The sequence below is a fragment of the Homo sapiens genome, chromosome 20 (assembly GCF_000001405.40).
Source record: "Homo sapiens chromosome 20, GRCh38.p14 Primary Assembly".
In the NCBI taxonomy this organism is placed as follows: domain Eukaryota; kingdom Metazoa; phylum Chordata; class Mammalia; order Primates; family Hominidae; genus Homo; species Homo sapiens.
The window spans coordinates 61439676-61453360 of record NC_000020.11 but is presented as its reverse complement, the minus strand read 5'-3'; the positions used below and the strand labels follow the sequence as shown (position 1 = coordinate 61453360).

Sequence of the window (13685 nt, the reverse complement as noted above, 5' to 3'; positions counted from 1 at the left end):
CTCTGCTGGGCCGCCCCACAGGAACTTGCATCTTCAAAGTGCAATGCGAGTTCCTTCTTCTTATATGCTGAGATATATAATCCCCCATCACTGCCACTGCTCCCATGACAGAAAAATGAATGCTTCAATTTGACAATTTCAAGAACTATAAATTGTTCAAGTTCCTGGATATCAAATGGTGACATTAAAATTACTTAATATCCTCAATACACTCTTTCATTGGCTTTTTTCCCCTTCCTTTCAAATGTCTTATGGCTTATTATAAACTCATATAATTACTTCCCAGGAAGTTTGATTTTCATTTCTTTATTTGCTTCTTAATAGAAGCTTTTTCTATACTGCTAACTTAGGAGAAGACACATCACTAGTTTAACTTCTAAGAAGTTACAAGATTAAATACCAGCTATGCTTTTTATTAAGTGTGTTATTATAAGAAGGCAGACTGGTTAGAACCCAGGGCTGTGGTGTAAATGGATGGTGGAAAAGCTGAGAAACATAATAAGTGTCACTCAGTTTTCTGTTTTTGTCTCACTCCCCTATTTCATATCTTCTCCACCTGCCAGGGGCCACTTTCTCAAGGTTTTACTGTCTGAATCACAAGGCCTGCAAGGCCTTTACACATAAAAAAAAATGCATCACAAAGATGAAGTGTGAAGAATCAACCAAATCACACACCTCTTGCTTTCCCTGCCTTACTTCTGTACGGTGTGGGAAAACTCTTCAACAATTGGAAAAATTTAAAAACTGAATAAATAGCAAAACTCAAACAGCAAGCTCACCAGATGAGATGCTTCAACAACCATCTCTACCTTTGAAATTCATTAACTAAAGCAATTTACCAAGCCTGCCCCAGAATGCATTATTCACACAAGAAGAGCTGCATTTGATAAATATCGAAAACGTGGCTATTCTGCAGAGTCTGAACGCTTTTATATAAATTCCCACTAGGATTAGCAATCTTTTCAGAAATCAAGCTCCCTACATAAAGCTACTTAAGGCTGGCTTTTCTTCTCTATCAAGCAGTGTAAGGAAATCCTTAAATGAGGGACTAAGATCTATTATGGACAAGAGGCATCAGGCATCATCTCATATAATTTTCTGACACGAGATTAATTCCAAAGACACCTGGAACTCAACATGTAAGTCTGCCACCTGCCTGTTTGTGGGCCCGGCCTGGGAAGGTGAAAGGCTATTGCTTTATTACAACCTGAGCACAAGCCTCCACCAGCCGCGCAACTCTGCAGTGGAGCCCAAGCACAGGCTGAGCCAGCGTCACAATCCACAAATGAAAGGAAAAGCGCGAATGCTCCAGGTTCTCAGGAAGGGGCCACAGCCGTTTTCTGAAGGACACTGAAGGGGTGGATGTCAAGACTCACAATCAAGTTTCCATTTTATAAAGTGAAGTTAAGTGTTAGGCAATTATCTGGATAATTAATTTTCCAGTGGTTTCTCCCTAAATCATCTAAGTGCCTAGGCATGAGAAGAGCTGGGAAGTCTCTACATCCCTCCTCATTTATGTTGTGCAGATCAGGCTTTTGGAGACAAATGGAAGCTTGTATGCTGGGATCCCTGGCACACCACGGCCAGGGAGCCCTCCTGCCCTGTCCAGAGTCCACCCTGGAGGCCTTCCTCCCAGCCTCCTACCCCCTCCTCCTCCTTCCCCTCTCCTCTCTTTAGTGCCCTCCTCCCTCCCACCTTCTACAGTTTTCCTTGGCGACCCCAGCTCTCCTAGGTATGTCCACATAGACTCTCAGGGCTCCGGCGATCTTCCCTTTACCCAGTAAGCAAAGGACCTACTTGGAAGGTAGAAGAGGAAGAAATGCTGCCACTTCAGGCTTTGCCCCAGAAGCATTTTCTCATTTGAACCTGTTAGCTTGCCTGTATCTTGGAAATAGGATTAAGATATATAACGGTATTATTATACCCATTTTGCAGATTACAAAACTGAGGCTTTGAAGATGTGGCTTCAAGTAAGCAACAATCCTACCTGAGATTCATAGCCAGGTCTGCGTGAGGCCAAGCACTCTGAACCACTCTGACGCAGCTGAGACGCACATGCTCCATGGTGGTCCGTGCCGTTTCCTCCTTATATGCAGCCGCTTTTTGAAGCCAGGTGCCAAGTATCATGCCCATCAGGCTTCCGCAGCACCAGGCACAGCTCTCTATCATAGAGTTACTCAAGACTCTATTGAAGAAACATGCACAGGTGGCAGGATGACACGGAGGGAAGGGGGGGGGCGTGAGAGGGAGGGAAAAAGCTCAGAAAAGCTGGTGAGCATCTATTCCCACAAAACACCCTCCGCTCTCTTGAGCCTCCAGGCCCCTCTCTATGGAGGCTTATGATCCAGGTTTGTGGACTTCCTCACAAACGGACTGTGTCAGATGCATCATGGCTATCTGGTGTTCTGTGATAGCACAGGGACTCCTCAGGACCTGGGTCCACAGCTCCAGGATTTATTCAGCAAACTGCTGGGTGGCCACTGTTGTCAGGACACTGGGTTAGAGCAGAGAAAACCCCGCTCTAGCCACCTCCACTCTTGGAGCACAGCAGCAGACTCTCTCCATTGGAGAGCAGGGTTCTCTCTGCCCTAACCCAGTGTCCTGACAACAGTGGCCACCGAGCAGTTTGCTGAATGAATCCTGGAGCTGTGGATCCAGGCCCTGAGAAGTCCTTGTCTTATCACAGCAAGCTCAGACACCTTCTCGGTTTGGGACAATGATGAGGGAACTGAGCTTTTAATAGGAATAGACATAGATAGAACCTCAAACGTATTTGCAAAACCGAAAGCATATTTCAATATCAAAGCAGCCGTTCGCATCTGAAGTCTTCCTTAATAAATCCTCTGTCAAGTGAAGACCCAGCACAGATGAAATAAACTGTATCTTTAGAGGTTAAGGCTTGGTGCAAATCACACAGCATCTCAGCCCCCACTGCTGTGAAAACAGACTTAAAAAGGCATGGAGAACAGTTTGGGAGAACTGTTTCTATTTCCCTGCATGGCTGGGCCAATGCATGTGTGTAAGGCTGGATCTGTGGGTCCTGTTGAGCCCCTCTTGGAAGCATCATTTCCCTTTAGTCTCAACTGTCCAGAAGTTTGAAGGCTGGGGTCCCACCAAGGCCCTGTCCTGGAGGATTATCCCAGGAAGGTGAGTCATACAGAGACAGCCCTGAACCAGACTTGGGTTAAACATTCATGAACAGAAGGTCATTCAAGAAGACTTAAAAGAATCCACTAAGATAGTTTTGATTGTAATGACATCATTGTCAACACTGTAGAAATTAACATACCCTCAAGTTTCCATTCTGAATAAGGGTTGAGATTAGTCAGGGGCAGAGGCCAGCAGTGCTGCAAACGGCACCTGCTCCAAAAGGGAACACAGAGTTCTCGCTGGTTTTGCAAAAGCAAAGTGTGTGTGAGTGCCTTTTACCCATCTGATGATAGGATAATTGAAAGAAAGCATATTTTCCAACTTGGTTATGGAAATTACCATATGAAGTACCACAAAATACCACAGAATCTATGCAGCTCTTAAAAATGGTATAGAAAATTAAGTCTAATAATAGCCTCAGTATACGGGTACATTGAGGAGAAAACCAAAAGTATTTGGTATAATTTCACTTCTGTAGAGTTAGTGATAAAGGCTAGAAAAGGTATTTGTAGATCAAAATATTAGCAGTGGTGATTTCAAGTTCTTAAGTCTTATCCATTTTTTTTTTAATTCTCTACCATCAACATACACTACTGTTAAAATGATCTTTACAAAGCAATAAAAGTTGGAATTCTTTCTTTTCCTCCTTCTCTTCATACACTATTAGGAGACTGTACAAATTACCATTTAAGCAAGATGGACTATACGTCTGATTACAAAATATCCCCACGTCACAGGCTACGGAGAGAGACTAGAAGGCAGGCTGGATAGTCCTTATTAGCGGAGTGACTCAGGGAGTGGAGCTGCCGGGAAGAGTGGAGGCTAGCCTTTGCACAGAGCTTGGGAGCAAACATGAGAATCAGGAATATGTAAATGAATGGTTTTAATTTCCCCTTTCCTTGGGTCCAATGGCAGCTGGCCTAGCCATCCACACTGACCTTGGTTTCAAGGTCCCTCGGCCCCCCCGTGGAGATAAATGCACCATGCTGTGGGCCTCTGAGGACAGCCTTGGCTTGGGTTAAAACGCTAATGTGGCTGGCACCAGTGCCCCTTGAAGCAGCAAAGATGAAGCCTGAACACCCTCACCCAGCCCCTGGCACTGCACACAGTGGGCAGGTGCCATCCCATCCCCAACTGCTTCCCCAGAGGCTGTGTGTGAAGTGACAGAAGTTAATGTGGATCCAGGTTTTAAAAAGTAGAGAAAAAGTCTGAATATTCAGGACCCAGCAGCCCCTTAACTTGACCTACTGTAGAATCCAGACACTGCAGCTGGCTTCTAATCAAAATTTAAATATGCCAGGGCTTTTCGATTTTATTTTTCACGCTGTTGTTATTATTATTATTGCTATTTCCCCATCACTAACCTCGAAGTTTGGCCTAAAAAAAGAAAGAATAGCCTTTTCAGAGTATCAAAAAGAAAACCTCAGATGCGCGGGTGCCTATCTGTATATTCATTATACAGAACTGCACGTGCACGCGAGGAAAAGTTCATCATAACAAGGCTTAACACAGTGACGATTTCGGAGGCTAGGTCTATTTAAGTCATTTTCTACCACCAGAATGGTGATAATGCAATACAAAAAACTCCTCTTGCTCCTATCACAGCACAGAGCCGACTAAATCAGAGTCCGCTTTGTCCTTTCAGAGACACCCATTATCTTCCCAGAGAGCACAATGTGTGTATTTTACAAAACCCCCAACACAAATGGAAATAAAAAAACACATTATGAAGGAGATTGGAGGAGGCTGTGCCGTGATGTATGATTAACCGTACTCTGTTGGGTGCGAGTAGCAAACAACATCAAACGACCCAAATTTCTAGTAGTTTTTCTCCATTAATTTCTACATTCTGCTCATAAAACGTTCGCATAATACCTTTCCGGTCTGGAAGAGTGCAGGTTTGTTTCATAAACATCGCTTATGGAAACTATAAAAGCACCTTCTTCACAGTCAGCAGAATGTAAAAACAAGGTGCCCAGCTGTCCGTGATTCCTGGGATACAGAAGGAATTAAGTGCAAATGTCTCCTGGGGCACTGGCTTCCAGCCAGCATGGAGTCTAAAGACCTGCTGGGCTGAAACAAACCAGCAAAGCCTGGGCCAACCCACTTTTAAGATCCTTTTGGTTCTTTTCTACCTTGATTAGGTATGGAAATCAGCATAGAAAGCCCCAGGGACGAACAAGAAAGACAAACAGGATGCTGGTGGCAGAATCTTGGGAAAAGCCCATGACCTCCAAAAAGTAAGTTCATGCTTCAGAGTGTTGGGAAAGTAAGAGAAGAAGGAAAATGAAGGAAGAGGGAGAATTCTGGGGAAAGTGTTGGAAAATATGATGAAAGGAAGGTAAAAAAGAGGGTTATGGAATGAAGATATAATTTCCAAATGAAAGTCTTGTACATCATTATGTTTTAAAAAGCAAATAAAAATAGAGTTTGAAGATACAGGCAAAAGGTGACATTCTCGTCCTCGCCATCCAAGTCTTATTTTTCCTTTTCTACTCTTGCTCCTACCTCTTCTCCTCCCTTCCCATGCATCGTATTAAAATTTTCCATGCACCATCTCAAGCTAAAAAAAAAAAAAAAAAAAAAGGAAGTAGAATGAGCAGGGGAGAGAAAATGGATCTGAGTGGGAAAGGGGAAAGTAGGAGACCCCGAATGATTAAAAAGTGAAATGGGACAAGACTGAAAAGCATGACTTCCAAATACCAGGAAAGCCTTTATATCGAAAACACCATGAATAGGTCGGGCACACTGGCTCATGCCTGTAATTTCAGCACTTTGGAAGGCCGAGGTGGACAGATCACCTGAGGTCAGGAGTTTGAGCCCAGCTTGGCCTACATAGCAAAACCCTGTCTCTACTAAAAATACAAAAAAAAAAAAAAAAAAAAAATCAGCTGGGCGTGGTGGCGCATGCCTGTAATCCCAGCTACTTGGGAGGCTGGGGCAGGAGAATTGCTTGAACCCAGGAGGCGGAGGTTGCAGTGAGCTGAGATCGCACCACCGCACACCAGCCTGAGTGACAGAGTGAGACTCCGTCTCAAAAACAAACAAGCAAACAAACAAAAAACACCATGAATAAACCCAAAAGACAAAATCACAGAGAGTATTTATAATGAGTATGGTAGGCAAAAAGGTTAGTAAATAAACAGTATACAAAGAATTCCTCCAAATCATACTGGAAAAGATATGTACTCCAGAGGGAAAAACGTAAGTTAAAATAAACACACACAAAATCCAAAGAGATGACTAATTTACAAAGAAAAAAACTAATGACCAATAAACAATTGGCAATAAAAATTCAGCTTCACTAATAATGACATATAAAAATGTGTAAATAACAATTTTCCCCTAACAAATTGGCCAAACTGAATATATTTATTAAGGTATATATATAATTGTACACACTCTCCACCCCAACACATACCCTGGGTTAAGGTGAGACAGGTGCTCAGACACACACAAACTCATGAATGGATAAGCGGGCTGGGCTTTCTTCGGGCAGACCAGCAACACATGCGGAAACCTTAAAACCATTCTAGTTCTTCAGTCCTGGGAGTCAACCCCAAGGAAATGAACAGAGATGTGTGAAAAACGCATGCACAAGAATTCGCTTTACAGCCACCTTCTATCATGAAAAGTGCAAGCAACCCAACTTTTTAAGATGAGGCGGATCAGCTGAACGATAATCCATGAGATGGAATGTTTATGCAGCTATGAACGTTTGATGACACGGAACAGTGCAAGTGATGCCAATAGAATAAGACTGTTTGTTTAAAAGTATGACGCTAGATCTTATTTAAAATTGTTTTAACTTAAACTATGGGTATGATCAAAGTATAATCTTTTTATTGGAGAAGTAATTTTGTAAGCAAAATAATTAATCAAGTATTTATGTACATTTTTGCACCCCTACTTATTTTTAGATATATAAATAAAAGTGAGACAAACTTGTAGAAATAAGTTTATAAGAAAATAGCAGTAGGCCTTGGTCTAATAAATGTATTTTACATGATTATCTCTGGCTGACACTGCTTAGTGACTGCTAGTCCAGTCTGGTTCCAAGGTCATCTTAGTAAAACACACCCTTCCCAAGTATGACCCACACATTTGATCTCTGATTTCATTTTTCATGGTCTTTCTTAAAGTGGACCTAGGAATCATCACTTCTAAATCAACTGCGCACCCACAGTTTCCTTGTGGTTTCAGTTTCACTGCCATGTGTGCTACACTGTAACCAACTGCTATCCACCAGCGGGCATGGGAGGCTCCAGGGCCAGCGTTCTGGAGGAAAGGACGCCAGGCACTGGCCCACAGATGGCCTCCTTCAGGACTGCGCGGAGGACTAGCTCAGATGGGCTGGGAACCCTCCCTCCCCATGTCAAATCAGGAAAGGGCGAAGGACCATGGCGTCCAGCCAGCACGTCACATCCTGGGAAAGGTCTCGCAAGTCTCTACCTTTAATGCTGCAACATGGCTTTACTTCTTTTTCCTTTTTTAAAAATCGAGAGCACTGTGAAATATAACACAAACCCGGTGTATTCTGAAGTTGGTGAGAAAATTGCTTCTCTAGAACTAAAAGTAGAATGGCCTTGGTCCCTTTGCCTCCTGCTGACCTGTTGGAAGAAGGAAGGAAGAGGAAGGGAGGGGAGAGGGGGAGGAGGGGCCGGAGGGAAGCCAGGGGAGGTTTGAGGGGCATTGGTCTTGCCCAGCTCTTCGTCACTCCCACCCTTCCTATCATCTGCACTCCCATGCCCCGCCTGCCTCAGAGGGCCCTCACTGTGGCTGGTCTTGGCATGGGGTGCTATGGCCACTCACTTTGAAGGAGAGACCTGGGGCAACAACTCATGCCTTCGGCTTGGCCAAGTGGACCTTTCCTTCGGAGTCAGACTCTGAGCACTGATGCTGTCCTGCCTGGGGATGGCCGGGGCCCTGCCTGGCTCTCCACAGGCCTCTTGGTTCCTGGATATTGTTCAGCTGGGGTCCCCCAGCTCCATTGATTCCAGAGCTTCCTGACAGTCTTCGAATACAATCCCTGGCCAGAGGTGGCCAGGGTCAGGCTGGGATTCTTGCAATAGGGAGTGGGGGAAGAGTGGAGAAAAAAGACTAGGGACAAGAATTCCCCGTAGCAAGCACCAAGATGGGAAGGGAAAATGCTCCATCAACACATGCGTGCACGCACACAGAGATACACACAGCCACAGAGAAACACACATGCAGATACATACAAACACACACGCAAAGAAACCCACACACATATACACACAGATACACACAAATAGATACAGACACACACAGACACACACACGCAGACACACAAATATACACAGACACACATAGAGAAACACACATACATATACACACAAATATACACACAGACACAGATGTACACAAAGACACACAAAGATACACATACATACGGATACACAAAAACACACACATGCAGAAACACACAAATATACACAGACACACACAGAGAAACACACATACATATACACACAAATATACACACAGACACAGATGTATACAAAGACACACAAAGATATACATACGGATACACAAAAACACACACGCAGAAACACACAAATATACACACACACAGAGAAACACACATACATATACACACAGATATACACACAGACACAGATGTACACAAAGACACACAAAGATACACATACATACGGATACACAAAAACACACGCAGAAACACACAAATATACACAGACACACACAGAGAAACACTCATGCAGATACACACAAATACACACACAAAGAAACCCACACACACATACACATATATACAGATACACACAAATACACACACAGACACACATAGACACACACATGCAGAAACACAAAAATATACACAGACACACACAGAGAAACACACGTGCAGATACACAAAAATACATACACAAAGAAACCCACACATACATACACATACACACACACACATAGATACACATGAACACACACAAAATACACAAAGAGAGACACAGCCATATACAGATACACAGACACCCACATAGAGAGATCCACAAAGACACACACACATAGATACAGACATACACACACAGACATACAGAGACACATATAGAGATACACACAATCACACACAGAATCACACAGACAGATACACACACAGACACACACACAGACAACCAGAGATATCCACAAAGATACACACACATAGATACAGACACACACAGATATAGACACATATACAGATACGCACAATCACACACACAGATACACACACAGACACACACACAGATATCCACAAAGACACACACACAGAGATACAGACATACACACACACAGACACATACACAGACACACAGAGATATAGACACATAGAGAGATACACACAATCACACACACAGAGACAGACAGATACACAGACACACCACACAGAGAGACACACATACACAGATCCACACACACACACACATACAGAGCCAAGCAAGACCCGGTCCTGCAGGCCCTGCCCGCGTATAAATCATATGAGTCGCAGCCTTCGGATGCGCTCATTTTAATAACTTAGCCAGCAGTCTTCTCTCAAAATTAACATCTGCTCCAGCAGCTTCCAGCTTTCCTTGCGAAAATAATGGCAGCTAATAGGGAAAGGGCTGTCGTGTTCCGACTCCAGGTACTGCTGGCGTGACAGCTGTGTGATCAGGAGAAGAAAGGTATGCCAAGACAAAAGGAATAATTAAAACGAGCCATGAGAACCAGCCCTGGATTTAAATGTTTAAATGTTTTAATTTAAAAGAACAATGGCTCCTTGAAGTGTCTTCACTGCCGGTACTGACAACCTGCCATTTATTAATCAGTGTTAAATAACAGCGGCTCAGGGTTTAACACCAAACAGCAGATGATGTGTGATGATCCCTAAAATAGCAGCCACATTTCAGGGCTGATTTCTAAATGACTCCGGCATAACAAGGAAGACTCTGGAATATTTACTGCACCAATTAAAGAGCATTAACCACTCTGCGACAAATAAGCGTGCAGGGGAGTGGTATTTAAATATGCCCAGCCTTCCAGGTAAAGCGAGGTGCTTCACACCTAGGTGGGGCAGGGTGTCTCTCAACTATAGATTACATTAAAAAACAACAAACAAATGAAAAGTGTGTCTTCCTAGGCAGCGGTTCTCAATCAGGGGTTGCTTTGGTCTCCAAGACACACTGGCAACGTCTAAAGACATTGTGATTCACATACCTGGGGGTGGAGGAAGGAAGAAGGGGTGCACCTAGGGGTCATCTAAAGGGTGGCGGCCAGGGACACTGTTAAACAACCTTCAATGCACAAGGCAGCCCCCACCATGGGGTGATTCAGCCCCTGAGGCCAACAGTGCCAAGGCCGGGGGACTGCAGAAAAAGGATCAGTGCTCAAACCCAAGACATGCATTCCCACACGTGTGTATTTTTTTATCAGCATAAAGAGGGTTAAAATTCTTCTTTGCCGCTTGTTTCCTAAAAGGAGCTGCTTCAGTGCATCCCGGGAGCCTCCTGACACCCTTGCCTGTCTCTGGAAGTCACTGATCGTGGATGAGGCTCCACTGGGTGCAGGCAAGCACCCCACGTTTTGCCTTTGAGTCTCTGTAACGCAGCCTTCTGCCCCTCACTGCAGGCAGCCTAAGTGGAGTTTAATGTAGAACCCCAAAGCGAAGGCTGGAACCGTCTGAGTGGGCCTGTTAGAAATGTCACTTCTACTTAAAAGGGTGGTTAGTTCTGCAATCATTTTACTGGAGTTCTCACGATCTGTTATTCTTTTAAAGCCACAAATATTTGCACAGCAGATGATGAGCATAAGCGATATGGGGATGTTTCACTGACCTGATAATAATGATGTTTGTTTAAAAACAGGTTCTGCAAGTGGAGTATTCGGAGGGTCTGCACGTCAGGGAGGCATGGTTCCATCCACACCCGGTGTGATGCGGCCCTTCCTCGGACACACACTGCTTTTCAACAGTGGCATGAGCCAGCTTGCCCTGCGTTTGGGATTTATAAAAAGTGCACTAACACTCCTTTAAATACATCCTCGCTTATGTGCTCAATTTAGCAAAGACTGATCAAATCCATCATGCTAAATAGATGCACTTAAAACAGTAATAACTGTCTCTGGAAGCTGCTGGGGCATTTGCGTCTGGGTGGTCTTCAAGTGTGGGTCACATTCGTGCTCATCACTGTCCTTCAGAAGAATATGCTGATACAAACGATTGGATTTGAAATCTGCAAGAGTTTCCACCTCAGCAGGGCTCAAGTTTTTCTGAAGCTATGTCCTGTTAGTAAAGAAGGGTTGGAGAGAACCTGGATGAACGTGCCGTGCCACCTGCACAACCCAACCTGGCTCTTCTTGTTGTTAGGGTCCTGTCGTAGTCTGATAGGGCTGCCATCACAGAAGAGCTTAGACTGGGTCATTTATGAGCCATGGAAATTTATTGCTCACAGCTCTGGAGCTTGGAAAGCCCAAGATGAAGGTGTCAGCAGATTTGGTGTCTATTGAGGGCATGTTTTCTCCTAAATGGTACTTTCTATGTGTGCTCACATGGAAGACGGGCCAGGCAGCTCTCTGGAGTCCCTTTTATAAAGGCTCTAATCCCATTCCTGAGGGCAGAGTCCTCATGACCTCATAACCACCCAAAGGCCCTGCCTTCTAACACCATCGCCTTGGAGTTAGGTTTCAGCAGATGAATTCTGGAGGGACACAGACATTCAGAACACAGCAGGATCAAACAGTGGTTAAATGGCAGTGGGGAAAGGGGTCTTTTCTCCCACCTGGAGTGGGTATAACCAGTGTCATCGATGAGCGAGCAGAGCCCAGAAGCCTGCCCAGCTCTGCCCCAACTAGCTGTGAGGCCCTGGCCCAGTCCCTCTGCCTAAGTCCTTTCTGAAGCCAAGGGGCTGACCTGGATGCTCCTTCCGCTTCCTTTCCTTCTGAAACCCCTGATTCTGAAATTTAGTCCTTTCTCTTGTTACTCTTCCAAGAGAATGGACAGTTTGGCTCCTGCCATGGATGGATGACAGCAGGGCCGGTGTTGGACGCTGTGTTTCAAGTCTGAGATTCTGCGTGACCTGTGGGAAAGCTCGCCACATAGCACACGCTTGGAACTCAAAGAAGTCATCTCTGCTCTGAAATGGATAAAGAAATGTGTCTTTTTCACCCCAAGACTGAAGCTGGACACAGAAAATGTTTTTGAAGTGATATCTGAACTCAAAAGAAACTTCCGGCTCAGATCCAAAGTCTGACTGTTTTGACACTTTTCTGAGCAATCTGCCTGCCGATTTGCTGACCTGGGCTCTTCCCGACAACTACAGACTTCCAGAACTTACCACCGCGAGGGCAGTGGCATTTAGACACCTGATGTGATTGCCAGAACTTCTCCCCATGCTGTGCCTGTCTCAGAGAAGCGCCATGACAACCAGAGGCATCGGGACACCTGCTGAGGACACCAACAATAGCGCTTCCTCCATGGCGCCCGCCACGGGCCGAGAAGAAAGCAGGCATTGCAGCCCTGGTTCCCCGGATTCACATCTCAGGAGGTCTTTGTTCTGAAGGACAATCCATACTGTCAGAAAGGCTTCAACAGGAATCCACTGAAAACCAGGGTTGAAATTTTATAGTCAAGAGTGCAAACCGAGTATTTGCTTAGCACTTCATATCCAAAAAACAAAACTAAAATTTTGCAAAAATAGATGTATTTTATTTTGTATTTAATAAAACTTTGCTTATAACTGCAACTAAATGCTAACTTTTAGGGTGAAAGACATGCAAGCAGTGACTGCGTCCTACTTGACTTGTTGCGGCTAACAAGCATTGTGGCTGCTCAACAGGGTGTTCCCTTTACATTTGCCTTTCAGAGCCCCATTGCAAAGAGTGATCTTTGCAAAAACGAGTCTAGAATGTTACTAATATCCTGAAGGTGTTCTCTGAATCATTCATCACTTCAGTAAGTGTCTTCTACTCTCATGGGCTAACTGGATCTCTGCCTCCTCAGTGGTTATCTGGTTGAACTCCACCTCCTTTCTCAATAATTGTGGCTGCAATTCCTGCACTTTCTTGATAGCAGTTTCATCTTCATGATGAAGATAGCGCAGGCATCTTCATGAAATCCTGCATGTTTGCATTTCTTGCACTTTCACTTTGCAACCAACTCCATTGCACTGAGGCTTTATGGATAGGACAGTTGCAATATAAAACAATCAGCTAAGATCAAGCCGTGATGACCTGAGTGTATTAGGCAGAGATGGATCTCAGTGATGAGCAGTGAGGCATGTTAGAGTGGGAATTCAATTTAGGAGTGGTCTGTACAAGAATGCCTTTTTTCCCCAATATCACCATGTAACTAGGGCGATACAAAGAGTTAGGATGTGGGCAGCCCTCCCCGCTAGTCCCCTCTAGTGCTGAGGGTGATGGTCTCCAAAGAGGCGCCTCGAATCCTACCCCTCTGTATTTGCATGCTGGACTGCCCATCAGAGGGAGGGGCTTATGCCCAGCCCTTGAACCTGGACTGGCCAGTGACTGTCTGACTCATACAG

At 44.6% G+C, this 13685-nt stretch overlaps 1 protein-coding gene across 3 annotated transcripts in view, besides 2 other annotated features; it reads right to left on the bottom strand.

The window, feature by feature from the left end:
• The window catches only part of CDH4 (cadherin 4), a 688357-nt gene that overhangs the window by 487257 nt on the left and 187415 nt on the right, over positions 1 to 13685 (bottom strand). The window lies entirely within an intron of this gene.
• Positions 3560 to 4118: an enhancer, noted in NCBI's record as "H3K27ac-H3K4me1 hESC enhancer chr20:60024299-60024857 (GRCh37/hg19 assembly coordinates)". NCBI's record gives its function as "activates a minimal SCP1, AML or CMV promoter by ChIP-STARR-seq in primed H9 embryonic stem cells {active_cell/tissue: H9 hESC(primed)}" and the evidence as "EXISTENCE:reporter gene assay evidence [ECO:0000049][PMID:30033119]".
• Positions 4119 to 4679: an enhancer, noted in NCBI's record as "H3K27ac-H3K4me1 hESC enhancer chr20:60023738-60024298 (GRCh37/hg19 assembly coordinates)". NCBI's record gives its function as "activates a minimal SCP1, AML or CMV promoter by ChIP-STARR-seq in primed H9 embryonic stem cells {active_cell/tissue: H9 hESC(primed)}" and the evidence as "EXISTENCE:reporter gene assay evidence [ECO:0000049][PMID:30033119]".